The 21,444-nt window shown below is 44.8% G+C and overlaps 1 long non-coding RNA gene across 1 annotated transcript in view; it reads left to right on the forward strand.

The window, feature by feature from the left end:
• Nucleotides 1-1,484: 1,484 nt before the first annotated feature.
• The window catches only part of LOC105375346 (uncharacterized), a 36,703-nt gene continuing 16,743 nt past the window's right edge, over nucleotides 1,485-21,444 (forward strand). Inside the window, exons 1-4 of the long non-coding RNA XR_927652.1 lie at nucleotides 1,485-1,516; nucleotides 2,767-2,918; nucleotides 15,678-15,804; nucleotides 17,295-17,403. This is a non-coding gene — a long non-coding RNA (uncharacterized LOC105375346). The remainder of the gene's footprint in view (nucleotides 1,517-2,766; nucleotides 2,919-15,677; nucleotides 15,805-17,294; nucleotides 17,404-21,444) is intronic.

Here is a 21,444-nt window from a genome sequence, read left to right on the forward strand (position 1 = left end):
ATCAGCGTGTTACTCCTGATACCTAACCTACAGCACCCTGGTTGCATTTTAATGAAGAATGCCACCTTCCCTCTGTTTAGCTGCCGGGGGCGTTTGGATCTGCTGCCGATTGATTATTATTACACATCCTTGAAGACAGTATATCTATTAACAGTTGTTCCAGTTACTTAAAAATGTGAGCTTCTTATGCTTTTCCTTTACTTCTGGCCCTTGAGTTCAAGCTCCCCCTCCGTGGTCACTTTTCTCTTGACAGCTCAGTTATCTTACATCTCTCTGGCAAGTGGAGACCCTGCACAGCTCATGGAAGCCTCTGGCACTCAAGGTCCCCATAGGTCTCAGAGAAGACAAGATTACATTTCCATGAATGTGCTTCCGTGCATATTTTGCAATTTCAGAGTTGTCCATATGCCCGAAGAAATATCTTATACTGAGGCCAATAAAAGACATTAACAGGCGCAAAGCTTAGAACCACCAGAATTTAGCCAAAAGGGTCTCTAGGCCTTTCTCTCCAAACAACTTTGTGGGTTTTTTTTCCTTTTTTTGCTCCAGATTTATTTCTCAATGTGCTTTATTTTCTAATAATTGAACATTTATAAAATAGCACCTCATGTGCACCTAGCAAATGTGCAAACCGTTTCATAATTAAAGAGATGTCTAGTCCCTAAAACCTGACAGGTGTGGTTAAAACATATGATTTGCTTAGCGTTTTAGGGGAATGTGTGACTAAAGGTCAGAGCCTCACTCTGATCACCAGCTGAAACAATGCTCAGATGCTCAGAGCATCCAGCCAGTATGTGTGAAGCCCCACCTTGCCGTTATAGTTATCATAGCTTTTTTTTTTTTTTTTTTTTTTTGAGAAGGAGTCTTGCTGTGTCACCCAGGCTGGAGTGCAGTGGCATGATCTCGGCTCACTGCAACCTCTGCCTCCCACATTTAAGTGATTCTCCTGCCTCAGCTGGCTGAGTAGCTGGGATTATAGGCATGCACCACCAAGCCCAGCTAATTTTTGTATTTTTAGTAGAGATGGGGTTTCACTGTGTTACTCAGGATGGTCTCAAACTCCTGACCTCAGGTGATCCACCTGCCTCAGCCTCCCAAAGTGGTGTAACTACAGGCATGAGCCACCGCACCCAGCCATCATAGCTATTGTTTGATCAAGAAAGCCCCATTCCTTGTAGTGATACAGCAGGATTCTTCAGAAAGACAGAAAAGGGCCATTTGGAGAAAACAAAATGCTAAATCTAGAAACATTCTGGGTTCCCGATGGTTGTTTTTTTCCCCAAGTCATCTGAGAGACGTTTCTTATTCCATAGCAGATGTCTGGCCATGAACATCATAACCTAATTAATTATTATGGCTATTTATAGGTATGACTTGCATGTAGAACATTAATAATCACAACAATGACTATTAACAAGAATGAATTGCCCATGTATTGAGCTTTATGACTCACAAAATAATTTCACTTATTTAATTTTATTTTAGATTCTTCCAACAACCCAAGGAGGTAGTCAAGGTAGGTGATATGGTTGGGATTTGTGTCCCCACCCAAATCTCATGTGGAATTGTAATCCTCAATGTTGGAGGAGGGGCCTGGTGGGAGGTGACTGGATCACAGGGGCGGATTTCCCCCTTACTGTTCTCGTAATAGTGAGTTCTCATGAGATCTGGTTGTTTAAAAGTGTATAGCACCTCCCTCTTTGCTCTATCTCCTGCCACTGCCATGTAAGACTTGTCTCCTTCCTCTTCATTTTCCACTATGATTGTAAGTTTCCTGGGGCTCCCCAGCCATGCTTCCTGTACAGCCTGTGGAACTGTGAGCCAATTAAGTCTCTTTTCTGTATAAATTACCCAATCTCAGGTAGTTCTTTTTTTTTTTTTTTTTTTTTTTTTGAGACGGAGTCTCGCTCTTTTGCCCAGGCTGGAGTGCTGTGGCGCATCTCTGCTCACTGCAAGCTCCAACTCCCGGTTCACACCATTCTCCTGCCTCAGCCTCCCTAGTAGCTGGGACTATAGGCACCTGCCACCACGCCTAGCTAATTTTTTGTATTTTTTTTAGTAGAGACGGGGTTTCACTATGTTAGCCAGGATGGTCTCAATCTCCTGACCTCGTGATCTGCCCCGCCTTGGCCTCCCAAAATGCTGGGATTACAGGCGTGAGCCACTGTGCCCGGCCTTTTTTTTGAGATGGAGTCTCACTCTGTCACCCAGTCTGGAGTGCCATGGAGCAATTTCAGCTTACTGCAACCTCTGCCTCCCGGGTTCAAGTGATTCTCCTGCCTCAGCCTCCCAAATAGCTGGGAGTACAGGTGCCCACCACCACGCCAGGCTAATTTTTGTATTTTTAGTAGAGACCAGGTTTTGCCATGTTGGCCAGGATGGTCTTGAACTCCTGACCTCAGATGATCCACTCACCTTGTCCTCCTAAAGTGCTGGGATTACAGGCATGAGCCACTGTGCACGGCCTTCACGTAGTTCTTTATAGCAATGTGAGAACTGACTAATATTGTAGTATTCCCATTTTAGTCTTTCAACTTCATAGGTAAGGAAATTGAACCACAGGAGTTTCTGAATAATATGTAATTGGAGGGAAAGAGCCTTGCAGGCTGTGTTTATCTTTAGATTGGCAGAAGAATGAGTATAATCTCAAGAGTTATGATTTATCTTAAGATATCCAGAGTTTAAGTACTTAAACTATCTCTACACTGTGAGTATTTATGTAGTCAAGTGAACTCTCTCAAGGCCCAGCTGTTCCCTATCTTGCAGATGAAATCAGCTGAGAAACTGTCCATCACATATGCTACCTGAAGAGTACAAACTGAGTCATCATCAATTTGAGACAAGACAAGGTTCAGTTTTGAGGCTAAATGACCTCAAACTTTCAGAACATCATATCAGACCATTTTTGGCTCATTTAGGTAATGGGACAACATGGTTTCCATGTATTCCTCCCGTGATGAATGTGGGTGACCCATTTCCTTCATCAGTGTCAATAATTCACATTAATATTTAGAGAGTTTGTCAAAGAGTATTTGCTTAGAAGATTTGATTCTGTTGTAGACCCTGTGAGCCAGGATGAGTTCTAGTAATACTGTGTTCCCATTTTTCAGACAAGGAAACCAAGGTACAGTTAAAAGGCATTCAAGTATTTACAGCACACCTACTATGTGACAGGTGCCACACAGTGCTAGGGGTACAATGAAAAGAAAATGCAGGTGTATTTTAAAAATTAGCCAGATGTAGTGGTGCACACCTATAGTTCCAGTTACTCAGGAGGCTGTGGTGGGAGGATTGCATGAGGCTGGAAGACAAAGGTTGCAGTGAGCCATGATCACACCAGTGCACACTAGCCTGGGCAAGAGAACAAGACCTTGTCTCAAAAAAAAAAAAAAAAAAAAAAAAAAAAGCCGGGTGCCGTGGCTCATGCCTGTAATCCCAGCACTTTGGGAGGCCGAGGTGGGCAGATCAATTGAGCCCAGGAGTTCGAGACAAGCCTGGCCAACATGATGAAACCCCATCTCTACTAAAGATAGAAAAAATTAGCCGGGTATGGTGGTGCGTTCCTGTAATCCCAGCTACTTGGGAGGCTGAAGCAGCAGAGTCACTTGAACCTGGGAGGCGGAGGTTGCGGTGAGCTGAGATTGCACCATTACACTCCAGCCTGGGTAACAGCGTGAGACTCCGTCTAAAAAAAAAAAAAAAACAAAACAGAAAACAGGCCAGGCACTGTGTCTCACACCTGTAATCCCAGCACTTTGGGAAGGTGAGGCAGGTGGATCGCTTGAGGTAAGGAGTTGGAGACCAGCCTGGCCAACATGGCGAAAACCCATCCCTACGAAAAAATACCAAAATTAGACGGGTGTGGTGGCAGGGGCCTATAATCTCAGCTGCTCAAGAGGCTGAGGCAGGAGGATCGCTTGAACCCAGGAGGTGGAGGTTGCAGTGAGCTGAGATTGCACCACTGCATTCCAGGCTAGTGACAGAGCAAGATTCCGTTAAAAAACAAACAAACAAAAAAAAAAAAAAAACAGAAAAGAAAAGGCAAATGCAATCTTGCTTCTGTCATTTCTTACTGTTTGATGTGGGAAATAATCAAATATTTGTGCCAACAAATGTAAAATTTTAACTGAATGTGGTGCTGCTTTCATTGACATATTCCATCAAACCATTGTACAAAGCCAGGCACAGTGGCTTACACCTGTAATCCCAGTGCTTTGAGAGGTTGAGGTGGGAGGATCACTTGAGCCCAGAAGTTTGAGACCAGCTTGGGCAACATGGCAAAACTCTTTCTCTACAAAAAACACAAAAATTAGCCAGGCATAGTGGCACACACCTGTAGTCCTAGCTACTCAAGAGGTGGGAGGATCACTTGAGCCTAGGAGTTCGAGGCTGTAGTGAGCTATGATTGCACCACTTTTCTCTAGTGTGGGCAACAGAGTGAGACCCTGTCTCAGAAAAAAAAAAAAAAAAAAGGGTCCAGGTCAGGTGGAGTGGCTCATGCCTGTCATCCCAGCACTTTGGGAGGTCAAGACAGGCAGATCACTTGAAGTCAGGAGTTCGAGACTAGCCTAACCAACGTGGTGAAACCCCGTCTCTACTAAAAATACAAAAAGTAGTCAAGCATGGTGGCAGGCACCTGTAATCCCAGCTACTCAGGAGGCTGAGGCAGGAGAATCACTTGAACCTGAGAGGCAGAGGTTGCAGTGAGCCGAGATCAAGCCACTGCACTCCAGCCTGGGCAACAGAACGAGACTCTGTCTCCAAAAATAATAATAATAAAATAAATAAATAAAGTTGAGGAAACTCAAAGAGGATAACTACATTGTCAAAAATCACATTCCTGGCCTGGCACAGTGGCTCACACTTCTAATCCCAACACTTTGGGAGGCCAAAGTGGGCGCATTGCTTGAGCCCAGGAGTTCGAGACCAGCCTGGGCAATATTACAAGACCCTATCTCTACTAAACAAAAAAAAAAAAAAAAAAAAAAAGAAAGGCCAGGTGGGGTGGCTCAGGCCTGTAATCCCAGCACTTTGGGAGGCTGAGGCGGGTGGGTCACTTGCAGTCAGGAGTTCGAGACCAGCCTGGCCAGCATGGCAAAAACCCGTCTCTAGTAAAAATACAAAAACTTGCCAGGCGTGGTGGCACATGCCTATAATTCCAGCTACTCGGGAGACTGAGGCATGAGTATCACTGGAACCCAGAAGGTGGAGGTTGCCTTAAATAAAAATAAATAAATAAATAAACAGGGTCTGGGGTTGAATTACAGCTCTGGGCACTTCCAGCCCTGGCATTATAGGTCTTTATAGCAGACCCAGACCCATTTGATGGCATGGCACCTTGGGAAGGGGGAGAAAAGGAAGAGGGATGCAGAGAGAGAGAGAGAAAACAGGCATTTCTCTTGCCTCTAGAAAGATGTTTAAAGTTAGGTTGAACTAGAATAGAATCAATTGAGGTGTGTAAATCAGATCGCATTTTAAGTGCTCAGAGAAGCTGCTATTTTTAAAAAAAGAACTCCTGAAGGCAATCTTCAGTAAAGTGAGGAGTTCTTTTGTAGAAGGCATAAATGCCCCTGGATTTATCCTCTTTTAATCGCCTAAACGTTTGTCTATCAGGTTTCCATAAGGCACTAGGTACATTTGTGCCTAATAACAATGAGTAGTAAAGTTAATGGTTGAGATGCTCTGATAAAGATTAATGCTTGACTTCCTCTTTGAATTCTCTCTTACACTGCGTTTGGCTTTGAAAAGTACTTTTCCCTTTGTACTCCAGCCTCTGAAATCATCCTTATAAAGTCACTTCATGTAGGAGACAGTGCGGAAGATGTTCTCTTTCCGAGAGCATGGTATGATAGGCATCCAAAATACCTTCTTTAATTAAGAACCATCTTCTGGCTGGGTGCAGTGGCTCACGTCGGTAATCCCAGCACCTTGGGAGGCCAAGGCAGGAGGATCGCTTGAGCCCAGGAGTTCGAGACCAGCCTGGGCAACATAGTGAGACCTCGTCTCTACTAAGAATTTTTAAACTTTAAAAATTAAGGCGGGCACAGTGGCTCACACTTGTGATCCCAGCACTTTGGGAGGCCGAGGCAGGCAGATCACATGAGGTCAGAAGTTCAAGACCAGCCTGGGCAACATAGTGAAACCCCATCTCCACCAAAAAATACAAAAATTAGCTGGACATGGTGGTGCATGCCTGTGGTCCCAGCTATTCGGGAGACTGAGACAAGATTGCTTGAACCCAGGAGGTGGAGGTTGCAGTGAGCCAAGATTGCACCACTGCATTCCAGCCTGGGTGACAGGGCATAACTCCATCTCAAAAAATAGTAATAATAAATATTTTAAAAATAAAAATAAAAATTAGGCATGGTAGTACACATCTGTAGTCTCAGCTACTGGGGAGGCTGAAGCCAGAGGATTGCATGAGGCCAGGAGTTCAAGGCTGCAGTGAGCTATGATCGCACTACTACACTCTAGCCTAGGCAACAGAGTGAGACCTTGTCAAAACAAACAAACAAAGAAAAGAACCATCTTCTGGAAATGGATGGATGATGTGTAATGAATGAGCAGCTTTGTGTCTGAGCTTTGGTTTGGGAAAAGCCATTTCAGCGAGCTATGTGAGACCTCAGTGTTTGTGTGTGTGTGTGTGTGTGTGTGTGTGTGTGTGTGTGTGTTTTGAGACAGGGTCTCGCTCTGTCGCCCAGGCTGGAATGCAGCAGCATGATCTCTGCTCACTGCAACCTCTGCCTACCAGGTTCAAGCTATTCTCATGTCTCAGCCTCCCAAGTAGATGGGATCACAGGGGTGTACCACCACACCCAGCTAATTTTTCTATTTTTAGTAGAGATGGGTTTTGCCATGTTGGCCTGGCTAATCTTGAACTCCTAGCCTCAAGCAATCCACCCACCTCGGCCTCCCAAAGTGCTGGGATTACAGGCATGAGCCACCGTGCCGGCCAGACCTCAGTGTTTCTGTTCTTGCAGGCTTCTCCTCTCAAAGCTGGCTAGCACTCCGGCCTCCATTTACAGCCACCGCTTCCTCTGCTCCACAAAGACAAGCTGTCTAAGTTAATCCATTAGTTAGCCTTCTGCATTTACACATAACACATGGTGCTCCATGCTTCATTAGGATGGACAAGGTGTTCCAGTCGCCATGTCCCTGCATAGAACGTACTGCGGTTGCTGTCCCCAAACAAATGCTTTCATACTCTGCACCCTTCCTGCCTCCGTCCGCAGCCTCTCTCCTCACTCTACGAACCTGGACAAAGCCTTCTGATCTCCTGCCAGCAACCACTTCTGTGTTGATTAATACTTCCGTCTCGCTCTGTGCCATGCCAAACCGAGCTGGGTTTGCTGCCCGTCCAGAAGAGCAAGAGCTATGCAGCTGGACAGATCTGTCGGCCCAGGGCAGGCGCTAGACACAAGGTGATTAAGGAAGATAATGATGAATGAAGGACTCACAGGTGAAAAATGACCTCTTTGCAATCCTTATTGATCCACCAGCTGAGGTCTTTTTTATGTGGAACCTAAATTTGACATTTCAAATTGAACCTGAATCTCGAATAGCTCATGCAATTTTAGAACTGGCAGTGATTTTAGATGGAATCCAGTATGTTGCCTAGATGGGGAAACTGAGGCTCACAGCATGAAAGTGACTTGCCTAAAGTAACAGAGTGTTAATGGCAAAGCTAGGGCTAGGACACAGATCTGAGGCTCAGGTTGCTGTCCTGGGCCAGGGCTAGGTCACCATTCCCGACTGCAGGGCTGTTTTCTTCTGCACAACCTAGGTTTTGTCAGTGAGCTAATGTTGTCTGTAAAGCATTCTTTTTACTGTCCCTTTGGGAGCCAAGGTCCAAATTATAACAGTATGACCTTGTCCTTTTTACGGGCAAATTTTTTTTTTTTTTTTTGAGACAGTCTCACTCTGTCACCCAGGCTGGAGTGCAGTGGCGTGATCTCGGCTCACTGCAAGCTCCGCCTCCCGGGTTCACACCATTCTCTCGCCTCAGCCTCCTGAGTAGCTGGGACTACAGGCACCCGCCACCACGCCTGGCTAATTTTTTTTTTTTTTTTTTTTGTATTTTTAGTAGAGATGGGGTTTCACCGTGTTAGCCAGGATGGTCTCGATCTCCTGACCTCGTGATCCGCCTGCCTTGCCCTCCCAAAGTGCTGGGATTACAGGCGTGAGCCACCGCGCCCAGCCTCTACAAAAGATTTTTTTAAAAAATAGCTAGGTATGGTGGTGCACACCTGTAGTCTGAGGCGGGAGGATCACTTGAGACTGGAATTTCGAGGCTGCACTCCAACCTGGGCAACAGAGGGAGACCTTATCTCTAAAAAATAATAATAAAATAAAAGAAGATGGACAGGGTGACGTATGGTGCTTAGGGAAAGGAAAACCAGTCTTACAGGGAGTAGCCAAGAAATGGCTCTTCTCCTTTTGGAGAGAGCTATCTTTTCTAAGAAGCATTTGACTTTGGGATTTATTTCTCCATGCAATGAACAACACGAGGATGAAATGAAGCTCCACCAAAACGAGCCCTGGCAGTCAGAGGCAATGGGGGGATGGAACTCCCTCTTAATGGGCAACCAAGAGTAACACCTGGATTGGCGAGAAATGCAAACTGCCTGGAAGCAGAGCAGGGCAGGCTCCACCCACGGTGTATGACAGATGCGGATTTCCCAGTTGAAATGTAAACCGCCCCAGGAACTCTTACTGGCACCATCTCAGTGATCAGTTAACACCTGAGCATGTATTGTCACCACAGAGTTCCTTGCCTGAAAGTATATAAATTTTACTTAAGAAAAGAGCACTAGGCCAGGTGCAGTGGCTTAGTCCTGTAATCCCAGCACTTTGGGAGGCTGAGGCAGGCGGATCACCTGAGGTCAGTAGTTCAAGGCCAGCCTGGCCAACATGGTGAAACCCCGTCTCCACTAAAAATACGAAAATTAGCTGGGTGTGGTGGTGTGCACCTGTAGTTCCAGCTGCTGGGGAGGCTGAGGCATGGGAATCACTTGAACCCAGCAGTCAGAGGTTGCAGTAAATGGAGATCATGCCACTGCACTCCAGCCTGGGTGACAGAGCAAGACTCTGTCTCTAAAAATAATAATAATAATAAATAAATACATATATAAATAAATATAGTAAAATGTTGATAATAGAATTTAGGTAGTGAGTATGTAGGTATATACTGTACAACTCTTTCAATTTTTCTGAAAGTTTAAAAGTTTTCAAAATAAAATATGAGGGAAAGTGAATCTTAAAAGTTAAATAAGTACTTGTCTGAGGGGGGCGGATCACGAGATCAGGAGATCGAGACCATCCTGGCTAATGCGGTGAAACCTCATCTCTACTAAAAATATAAAAACAAAATAAGCTGGGCATGGTGGCGGGCGCCTGTAGTCCCAGCTACTCAGGAGGCTGAGGCAGGAGAATGGTGTGAACCCGGGAGGCGGAGCTTGCAGTGAGCCGAGATGGTGCCACTGCACTCCAGCCTGGGGGCAGAGCGAGACTCCGTCTCAGGAAAAAAAAAAAAAAAGTTCAATAGGTACTCCCCAGGCAAACAAAATGAAGAAGGGCTAATCTAACACCATTTCAAACTTCCCAACCCTCATCTGCTTTTCCTGCCGTCTCTATAAAGCTTGGCAGCTAAATATTTACTTACCTCCCTCGCTGCTAGGGGTAGACACATGGCATGGTTCTGGTCAGTGAGACATTAAGGGAACTCTACTGGGCTTTTTGGGGAAAGTTTTCACTTAGTTGGTACTGCCCCTTCCTGACTTGAATACAAACATGGTATCTGGAGCTGCAGCAGCCCTTGCAACTGCAAAGGAAAATCTAAAAGAATCCAACTCCCACCCTGGCCTTATTAAGCCACAAAACCAATGTTAGCAGCTACCCATCTCCAGACTTGCTGGCTGTGTTAGAAAAATAAACCCTTATTTGTTTTAGCCACTGTTAGTCAAGTTTTCTGCAGCTGAAACATTCTGAGCAGAGGCAGAAGTGTAAAACCACCTGGTTTTCAGGTAATTGCAAGCAATTTGATGGCTACAGCCAGAGTCTGGGGACAAAAATGTGAATCAAGAGATGGAGCCAAAGAGGTAGGAAGAGGCCAGATCCTGCAGGGCTCTTTGCTATTCTGGGGACTTCAAATTCTCTGAAAGTAGCGCAGCTTGGGGGAAACCTGTTCAGATTCCCTTTCACAGCCATGATTCTTAAGCTTTTGTAAAGATCAGAATCATCTGGGGTTGAAAATATACAGTTCCCAAGCCCCACAGCCACAGGCAGAGATTCTGATTGTAGCTGTCAGAATCACACCCATATCCCTCCAACTTCTCCTCTTTTTTTTGAGACAGAGTCCATTTTTTTTGTGCACACTGGATTACAGTGGTGCAATCATGGCTCACTGAACTTCTGGGCTCAAGCCATCTTCCCACCTCAGCCTCCCAGGTAGCTGGGACTACACGTACATGAAACCATGCCCAGCTAATTTTTTTTTGGTAGAGACGGCATCTCACTGTGTTGCCCAGGCTGATCTTGAACTCTTGGACTCAAGTGGTCCTCCTACCTCCAGCCTCCCCAGTAGCTGAAACTACAGATGTGCCACCACCATGCCTGGCTAATTATTTTATTTAATTTTTTGTACAGACAAGGTCTCACAGTGTTGCCCAGGCTGGTCTCAAACTCCTACATAACCCCTCCTTTATGGGGAGCTTCCATGACTAGTCCCTGAACACTAAAGATTCCTACCTTTGTATCTCTGTGTCTTTCTGCCTGGGGATTTTCTCTGGTCACAGAAGCATGCTGTGTGCACACACAAGGCAGGCCAGAATTATCAGGGAGTCCACGCCCCCAGCAGCAACCTTCAACCAATGAGAAACAGGAGCTCCAGCTTTCTTGCTTGTCAGTGAGACACTACTGAGGTGCCTTGCAGTCTCTCAGGAGGTCCCCTTGGGGCTGACCCTCAGGTGGCCATGGTGATAAATAACCTTCTCATTAATATAGCCTTTATTGCTTTTCCTTCCTTCCTTCCCCACTTCCCTTCTCCAGACCCCTTTCAGGGAGCTATTGGGATCATCTCTCAAGTAAACTCCTGGCACTCAAATCCTTGTCTAAGCCTCTGCTTCAGCAGAACCCAAAGTAAGACACTGATTCAAAATACTTGGAATGCAGGCCGGACATGGTGGCTCACACCTGTAATCTCAATGCTTTGGGAGGCCAAGGCAGGAGGATCACTTAAGGCCAGGAGTTTGAGACCAACCTGGGCAGCATAGTGAGACCCCATCTCTACAAAAATTAATAAAAAGTAGCCAGGCATAGTGGTATGCACCTGTAGTCCCAACTACTCAAGAGGCTGAGGTAAGAGCATCACTTGAGCCAGGAGTTAGAGACTGCAATGAGCCATGATCATGCCACTGCACTCCATCCTGGGTGATAGGATGAGACCCCATCTCTATAAGAAATTTATTATTATTATTATTATTATTATTATTATTATTATTATTATTTTGAGACAGAGTCTTGCTCTGTCGCCCAGGCTGGAGCACAGTGGCACGATCTTGGCTCACTGCAAACTCCGCCTCCCGGGTTCACGCCATTCTCCTGCCTTAGCCTCCCAAGTAGCTGGGACTACAGGCACCCACCACCATGCCTGGCTAATTTTTTGTATTTTTAGTAGAGGCGGGGTTTCACTGTGTTGGCCATGATGGTCTCGATCTCCTGACCTCGTGATCCTCCCGCCTTGGCCTCCCAAAGTGCTGGGATTACAGGCGTGAGCCACTGGGCCTGGCCTGTATAAGAAATTTAAAAATTAGCTGGATGGTATCATGAACCTGTAGTCCAGGAGGCTGAGGCAGAAGGGTCACTTGAGCCCCAGAAGGTCAAGGCTGCAGTGAGCCGTGATAGCTGCATTCCAACCTGGGTGACAGAGCAAAACCCTGTCACACACACATACACACACACACACCCACACACACACACACACAAAATGCTTGGGGTGGGGAACAGGACTCTGCATTTAACCATCATCACTCTCTAAGAACTCAGATATGCAGATTCAACCTCTATCCCTCTGCCCCAAGTAAATTTTCCTATTGACGCTGTCAGACAAATTTGTAGATTAGACTGAAATTCCTCAGTGACAAGCAGATTTTTCAGTTGAGTTGAGACCAAGAGATTTAGCAAATTCTCTAGCTAATTCAGTTAATCTATGAAAAGTTTCCAAACATAAGCATTTTCAAACATAAGACCTAAGTACAAATCAGCTTATGACATGGAAAGTAATAACCAGGATATTGTCAAAACCCTACTACATAATAAATAAGGATAAAGAATCCTAAATGTTCCTTACCTCATAACACCCAGAATAATTTTGTCTAAATTAATTAATATTTAGTATCTATTCTTTCAGTTGCTTTCAAATGAGAAATTTATCTTTCACAGAAAAAGAGAGGAAAAGTTGATCTTAGTTGAAGCAATGATACTAATAGTGTTTAGGGGTTAGGTAAAAATTGTCCCGTGTTGCTTTAATATTTCCTTACCAGGAAAAGAGATGGCCAATTTTTTTTTTTGAGGCAGGATCTTGCTCTGCTGCCCAGGCTGGAGTGCAGTGGTGCAATCTCTGCTCACTGCAACCTCCACCTCCAGGGTTCAAGAGATTCTCCTGCCTCAGCCTCCCAAGTAACTGGGACTACAGTCATACGCCACCATGCCCGGCTAATTTTTGTATTTTTAGTAGAGATGGGTTTTCACCATGTTGGCACGGATGGTCTCGAACTCCTGACTTCAAGAGATCCACCTGCCTTGGCCTCCCAAAGTGCTGGGATTACAGAGTGAGCCATCACGCCTGGCCATGGCCAAATATTGTTATACCATCATTCGTTCTCAAATCAGGATTCTGAGAGGAGGAGCTGATGGCGAAGAAAAGGACATAAGAGAGGTCAGAGTGGAAAATGTTCTTGAGTTCGTCTAATGAGACAATCCTCTCCAGATGAGTGGACCAAAGCAAGTAATATAATGTCCCATTATCGTAAGCTATGGCTTATGAGGTTTTTTTTTAAAGTATCATTTAAATTTCCAGCTGCAATTCTAGGGATTATTCCCAACAAGAAAGTTTTTTGGTTTGGTTTTTTGTTTTGTTTTGTTTTTTGAGATGGAGTCTCACTCTGTCGCCCATGCTGGAGTGCAAAGGTGCAATCTTAGCTCACTACAGCCTCCACCTCCCGGGTCCAAGCAATTCTCCTGCCTCAGCCTCCCGAGTAGCTGGGACTAAAGGCGCACATCACCACACCAGCTGATTTTTGTATTTTTAGTAGAGATGGGGTTTCACCATGTTGGCCAGGCTGATCTCGAGCTCCTGACCTCAGGTGATCTGCCTGCCTCAGCCTCCCAAAGTGCTGGGATTACAGGCGTGAGCCACCACGCCTGGCCGGGTTTTGTTTTTAGAGACAGGGTCTCATTGTGTCAACCAGGCTGGAGTGCAGTGGCACAATCATAGCTCACATCAGCCTCAAACTCCTGGACTCAAATGATCCTCCAGCCTCAGCCTCCCAAGTAGCTGGGACTACAGGCACACACCACCATGCCCAGATAATTTATATTTTTGTAGCAATAGGGTCTTGCTATATTGCCCAGGCTAGTCCCAAACTCCTACACTCAAGCAATCTTCTTAGGCCTCCCAAAATGCTACAATTACAGGTGTAAGCCACCATGCCATGCCTAATTTTGTTTTGTTTTTATTTTTTGTTTTGTTTGTTTGTTGTTGTTGTTGTTTTAGAGTCAAGTTCTCACTATATTGCCCAGGCTGGTCTCGAACTCCTAAGCTCTGGCCAACCTCCTGTCTCAGCCTCCCAAACTGCTGGGATTAGAGGCATGAGCCACCATGCCAGCTTGTTTTGTTCGTATATCTAGTTCCCACATGGGCTAAAGTGGAATTCAAAGGAATTTTCCCTCAGGTGCCTTCACAGGCCTGGGGATGCTGGTGGTTGTCTCATGAAAACTACAAATAATTTTAATTAATTGAGGTCATGTAGACAGCACCCAACTCATCCTGAAAACATAACAAGCCCCCACTTACTTGGTTAGTTGTTCTCCTCTTGACTGAATTAGTTGAGCCAGTGTGTATAACTTGAACAGGTAAGATCTTTTTTTTTGTTTTGTTTTTGAGGTGGAGTCTGGAGACTTGCTCTGTTACCCAGGCTGCAGTACAGTGGCACAATCTCGGCTCACTGCAACCTCTGCCTCCCAGGTTCAAGCAATTCTCCCGCCTCAGCCTCCTGAGTAGCTGGGACTACAGGCATGTGCTACCATGCCCGGTTAATTTTTGTATCTTCAGTAGAGATGGGGTTTCACCTTGTTGGCCAGGCTGGTCTCTAACTCCTGACCTCAAGTGATCTGCCCGCCTCAGCCTCCCAAAGTGCTGGGATTACAGGCGCTAGCCACCATGCTGGGCAACTTGGACAGGTAAGATCAGAAAGATGCTTGTAGCCCTCTCAAGTTTTAAGGAGAGAAATTACACTACTATATACATCCCAATATATCACATGATGCTTTTTACCTATTCCATTTTGTTTTGTTATCTTGTCAGTCTTTCAGGTAGGACTAGCTTTTTTATCCTAATTAGACAATTACACATCATGATACACTAATTTGTTAACCTATGTTCACAAATCATTTAATTACCACTGCTGGCTTTGATGTGCTGTTACTATTCGGTTATGGGAGTAAATAATTCAACAGCTAACAGAAAGAAACTCATTATTTTCTGAGAGATATTGTTGTTATTTTCAGTGTTTTAAAAACACTTTAATCAAAACTTTAAAAATACTTCAATCAAAACTTTAAAAAAATATTACGTTGTTTGTATAGTAGTAAGTAAAAGAGTATTCATTGCTTTCATATAAATAATTATTTAGAGGACCAAATAACAGCTTCTGAAATTCACAATGAATAGAATCCTTGTTAAATTTTTTTTACTTTTACTTTTACTACTTTTTTAGACAGGGGTCTCACTCTGTCACTCAGGCTGGAGTGTAATGGCAAGATCATAGCTCACTGCAGCCTTGAACTCCTGGGTTCAAGCAATTCTTCAACCTCTGCCTCCCGAATAGCTGGGGCTACAGGTGCATACCACTACACTTGGCTAACCTTTTAATTTTTTTTTTTAGAAACAGGGTCTTGCTGTATTGTCCAGACTGGTCATGAACTCCTGGCCTCAAGCCATCCTCCCACCTCAGCCTCCCAAATTTCTGGGATTACAGGAATGAGCCACTTCACTTGGCTGAATAAGATTCTTTTTTTTTTTTTTTTTTTTTTTTTTTGAGATGGAGTCTCGCTCTGTCGCCCAGGCTGGAGTGCAGTGGTGCGATCTCGGCTCACTGCAAGCTCTGCCTCCCAGGTTCACGCCATTCTCCTGCCTCAGCCTCCCAAGTAGCTGGCACTACAGGTGCCTGCCACCACGCCCAGCTAATTTTTTGTATTTTTAGTAGAGACAGGGTTTCACTATTAGCCAGGATAGTCTCGATCTCCTGACCTCGTGATCCTCCCACCTCGGCCTCCCAAAGTGCTGGGATTACATGCGTAAGCCACCGTGCCTCGCCAGGATTCTTAAAGTAGACTAATTTTTTGTTCTTCAGGCCAATTCACAGACAATCTCCCATGACGGTATAATTTTTTTAATGCAGCGTCTAATATTGATTTGTGAAGCACTTTGATGACTGGAGACAAGAGGAGCAATCTCCTTCCTATTTGATGCTGCTATCTACTGTCACTCAAACTTTCTTGATCTTCTAGAACCATTCATTCCATTTGGTAAGCACTCTGGGTCGCTGCCACATCCTGGGAGCTGTAGGTGCTTTGGGGTTCTTTCCCTTCCTCCTTGATGAATGGGGAAACCAGGCTGCCAGGTGCAAACTCCCAGCAGGTTTCACAACTGTTTCTGCTAGGAGTTTGCATTCAGGATCAATAATATCATTATGCGTTTCTGTGCAAACATCAAAATTACTCTATGCAATTAAGCTCCTACCTTTGCTGCACTCCCCCAGGAAGAAAATATCCTAAGAGAGGAGGAGAGGTTTCTATGTGAAGCTTTGTGATAATATTATTGACCCATATTGTCATTTACTGCATAACATATGCACATTTAGACTGGTTTGTTTGTTGATTTGTTTTTGGTTTGATTTGGTTTTTTTTGAGACGAAGTCTTGCTATGTTGCCCAGGCTGGAGTGCAGTGGCACAATCTTGGCTCACTGCAACCTCCGCCTCCTGGGTTCAAGTGATTCTCCTACCTCAGCCTCCTGAGTAGCTGGGATTACAGGCGTGTGCCACCACGCCCTGCTAATTTTGTGTATTTTTAGTAGAGATGGAGTTTCACTATGTTGGCCAGGCTGGTCTCAAACTCCTGACCTCAAGTGGTTTACCCGCCTCGGCCTCCCAAAGTGCTGGGATTACAGGTGTGAACCACTGGGTCTGGCCTCTGTTTTTTTGTTTTTTTGAGACAGGGTTTCACTCTGTCACCCAGGTTGGAGTGCAGTGGCGCAATCATGGCTCACTGCACCCTCCGCCTCCCAGGCTCAAGTGATCCTCCCACTTCAGCCTCCTGAGTAGCTGGAACTACAGGCTTGTGCCACGATGCCTAGCTAATTTTTTTGTATTTTTTGTAGCGATGGGGTTTTGCCATGTTGCCCCAGGCTGGTCTTGAACTCCTGAGCTCAGCCATCCACCCACCTCAGCCTCCCAAAGTGCTGGGATTACAGGCATGAGGCATCGCAACCAGCTTCAAACTGTTTTTTATCTTTTAGGTTCTTGTCGTTTCTCTTCAACTATACTGTGAATTTCAGGCCTGAGGCTGTGCCTCTACCTTGATGAAATCTTTGTATTACCCAGAAAAGCGCCCAGCACATAGTAGGTTCTCAAAGAAATATTTGTGGCTGTTGAGCAATAAAAGTGAGAATGCAATGAATAAAGTAACTTTTTCCTTTGTAACTCAAGGTATGGGTATAAGGTTCCTATTTTCCTGATATGACAAAATATCCCTTTATGAAGCTTTTTCTGGGAGACTTTTAGGTGGCATTGTATGCTTCCTCTGCATGCAAACTCACTTTTAATCTTCAGAAAAACACACCAACTGAACACTAATCCAAGGCATAGAAACGCAGACCTTCCCTACATCTCCTGTTAGGATTAAATAAAAGCCGATGCAGTAGTATATTTGCATTCTTCCTTTATCCTCTATCAGTCAGCAGCTTTAGTCGTAGCCCACAGTTACTTTCTGACAGTTTTCATCTTCATTTCCTTCCAGAACAGCAAGAAAAGTGATATTAGCAGTAAGACTTGAAGACAGTCCTCTAACTCTTGAAGATTTTGTTGGGAAGTTGACTGAACATCCTGTCTGGCTTCTGAGGCATTAGGTATAACATCTTATAATAATGTGGGGTAATACTACAGTGATTCCTCCTGACAAGGCACAGAGATAGGGCAGTCCTGCAGCTCGCAATGCTGGCGCAGCCTGGAGGTACAGGGAACAGCATGTGTGCTGCTCACCATCATTAGGGAGGTGCTAATATTTCAATACAAGCCTAAAAGCTTTCCTTGTTGGCAGCTGGGTGCAGTGGCTCATGCTTGTAATCCCAGCACTTTGGGAGGCTGGAGTGTGAGGATTGTTTGAGCCCAGGAGTTGGAGACCAGCCTGGGAAACATAGTGAGACCCCATCTCTACAAGAAAAATTTAAAACTAGCTGGGTGTGGGGGTGCACACCTATAGTAACAGCTACTCGGGAGGCTGAGGTGGGAGGATCGCTTAAGCCCAGAAGGTCGAGGCTGCAGTGTGCTATGATCACACCATGGCATTCCAGCCTGGGTGACAGAACAAGACCCTGTCTCTTAAAATTTTTTTTTTTTTGAAACAGAGTCTCAGTCTGTCTCCCAGGCTGGAGTGCAGTGGCAGGATCTCAGCTCACTGCAACCTCTGCCTCCCAGGTTCAAGCAATTCTCCTGCCTCAGCCTCCCGAGTAGCTGGGACTATAGGTGCGCACCGCCACGCCCGGCTAATTTTTTAAAATTTTTAATAGAGACAGGGTTTTGCCATGTTGGCCAGGCTGACCTCGAACTCCTGACCTCAGGTGATCTGCCCGCCTCAGCCTCCCAAAGTGCTGGGATTACAGGTGTGAGCCACTGCGCCCAGCCTAAAAATTTTTTTTCAAATAAGGAGGATTCATCTCTCACTCTTATTATTAAGCATTTGTTATTTAGTATCTACTTACTCAATACATACTTACTAGGCACTTACTGTATGCCCAACAAAGCATTAAGATTTGTCTTTTTGTCTTTCTTTTTTTTTTTTTTTTTTTAAGATAGGGTCTCACTGTCACTCAGGCTGGAGTATAGTGGCATGATCATAGCTCACTGCAGCTTCAAACTCCTTGGCTCAAGGGATCCTCCCACCTCAATCTCCCGAGTAGCTGGGACTACAGGCATGTGCTAATTTTTTATATTTTTTATAGAGACTGGGGTCTTGCTTTGTTGCCCAGGCTGGTCTCGAACTCCTAGACATAAGTGATCCTTCCATTTTGACCTCCCAAAATGCCTTGATGACAGGCGTGAGTCACCGTGCCCAGTCTCCGAACATCTTAGAATCTTCAGTGATCATGTAAATAGCCAAGTTCCCTAAATATATACAAGTCTTGTATTGGAATGGATTTGAAAATTTAAAGAGGCCTGTGAAACTCACACAACACTCTTTCCTTTTAGTCTCCATGCTTGTGACGTTGTAGGACACCTTCAGTCCTAGGTATAGACACATTCTTGGGAACAGGGAAAGCACTCTCTGGTTTACACTCCAGTACCGTATCCTCCTGCAGCCTTGGAAAGCAGCTTCAAATTGCTAGCTAAATACAAGTAAGGATGTGTTGAAGGAGGTTTCCTGCTTTTCCTGTTAGTTGCAAGAATTGCCAACAGTGATTGGGCTCTGTGTGTGTATGTACGTGTGCAAATAGCAAAGATCAAACTGCTTATTAATCCAAGTCAGGGCAAGGAGGAAGAAGCTATCAGCAAAAATAAGTGATTTCTTTTTAGGGTTTTACTCTGAAGACAAAAATTTTTTAATGAAATGAGACCTTCTGCCCTTTCCCTGGCACCAGGACATTTTCCCTTCACACCAGGGACCTCCCACAGTGAACCATGAACGCTGAGTCTCAGAGCCTAACGTTTCTTTTCGTTCAGTTCCCATTGTTTAGTCATTCATACCTTGTATTCCAGCCATTGTCATTCATCTCTTCTGCTTAGTATCACTAGCCAGTTTTCTTTTCTAACTTTTGCATAAGAAAATACTCAGGCACATTTTTAGAAAACGTACATTGGGACGTGAGTTATGTGAGTAATACAGAACTTGGAAGCTATTTAAATAGAGATTGCAAAGTGGTTAAAAGTCTGTAAAATAAAATCACCTAAAATCCCAACACTTTGGGAGGCCAGTGTGGGAGGATGGCTTCAGCCAAGGAGTTTCAAACCAGCCTGAGCAATATAGTCAGACCGTGTCTCTAAAATGAAAAAAAAAAAATTGGCAGAGTGTGATGGTGTGAGCCTATAGTCCCAGCTACTCAGGAGGCTAAGGCTGGAGGATGGCTTGAGCCCAGGAGGTGGAGGTTGCAGCGAGCTGAGATTGTACCGTTGCTCTCCAGCCTGGGCAACACAGCAAGACCCTGTCTCAAAAAATAAAAAATAAGACATTGCTTTTGCTGGGCATGATGGCTCATACCTGTAATCCCAGCACTTCAGGAGGCCAGGGTGGGAGGATTGCTTGAGGCCAGGAGTTTGAGACCAACCCTGGCAACATAGGGAGACCCTCTCTCTACAAAATAACAATAATAATAATAATAATAATAATAATAATAATAATAATAATAAAATTAACCAGACATAGTGATGTGTGCCTGTAGTCTCAGCTACTCAGGAGGCTGAGGCAGAAGGATCGCTTGAACCCAGGAGTTTGAAGCTGCAATGAGCTATGGCCACTGCACTCCAGCCTGGGCAATATACTGAGACCCTGTATGCTGTCTTAAACAAAACAAAAGTTTCTTTATTTTATTTTATTATTATTATTTTTTTGAGACAGAGTTTTGATCTTGTTGCCTAGGTTGGAGTGCAATGGCACAATCTTGGCTCACTGCAACCTCTGCTTCCCAGGTTCAAGAGATTCTCCTGTCTCAGCCTCCCAAGTAGCTGGCATTACAGGCGTGCACCACCATGCCCAGCTAATTTTTGTGGTTTTAGTACAGACAAGGTTTCACCATGTTGGCCAGGCTGGTCTCGAACTCCTGACCTCAGGTGATCCACACGCCTTGGCCTCCCAAAGTGCTGGGATTACAGGCATGAGCCACCACACTCAGCCAAAACAAAAGTTTCTTTCATGTGAAAGAAATTGACTTAAGGGGACTACAAGGGAGAAGAGAAGAACAGAGGCATCATCTAACATTGTTTTTTCAGGGTTAAAGAGCACCAGTGCCCATGCTGTTAGCTTGTCTCATTGGAATCATGGCTAGGACTGATTTTATAACATGCTCACGCAATCTGGTTCATAGGAACTCACAAGCTGTCCCCCAGAAACCCAATGCTGATGGAGAAGGCAGGAGAACCACTTCCATTATTGCAGGCAGGAGTCATAAATTCCAGTCCCTGCTCAGTCACCAACTTGCTGTGGAAGACCTTGTGAAAGTCATTTAATTCCCCTAGACCTTAACCGTTGCCTCTCTAAGATGAGGCTATTGAGCTTTAAGAAGAGAGATCATATAATTTATCAGAAAAACCAAGACATTTTCGCCAGAACACATGTTAAACTGGACAGGTGACTGCATGGCAAACCAGGACTGCTGGGCGTGCCATCTCAAAAATCCCTGTGGACTGGGCATGGCGGCCCGCGCCTGTAATCCCAGCACTTTGGGAGGCTGAGGCTGGCAGATCATTTGAGGTCAGGAGTCCGAGACCAGCCTGGCCAACATGGTGAAACCCCCGTCTCTACTAAAAATACAAAAAAAATAAAATAAAATTAACTGGGTGTGGTGGCTAAGTCAGGAGGCTGAGTCAGGAGAATCACTTGAGCCCGGGAGGCGGAAGTTGCCATGAGCCAAGATCGTGCCACTGCACTCCAGCCTGGGTGAAAGAATGAGACTCCTTCCAAAAAAAAAAAAAAACAGAAAAACAAAAAAAAAAAGTCCCTGTGAACACTGGAGTCTGATTCAAAAGGCCCTTCCCCCAAGAGTAACCCCAAAACTTTCAATAACACAGGCAAAATTAAGAAGAACCCAAACACAGTAATGTAACAAAAATTGCTACTTTGGACAAGATATTTTAAATACAGTTTCACTGTTGTAAAAGTGAGAGGCAGAAGGAACTTCATATCAGAAATTAAGATAGCTTATTTAGGAAGGGGTATTGAATTATTTTCTAGAACCTAT

Source organism: Homo sapiens, chromosome 7 (genome assembly GCF_000001405.40).
Source record: "Homo sapiens chromosome 7, GRCh38.p14 Primary Assembly".
NCBI lineage: Eukaryota > Metazoa > Chordata > Mammalia > Primates > Hominidae > Homo > Homo sapiens.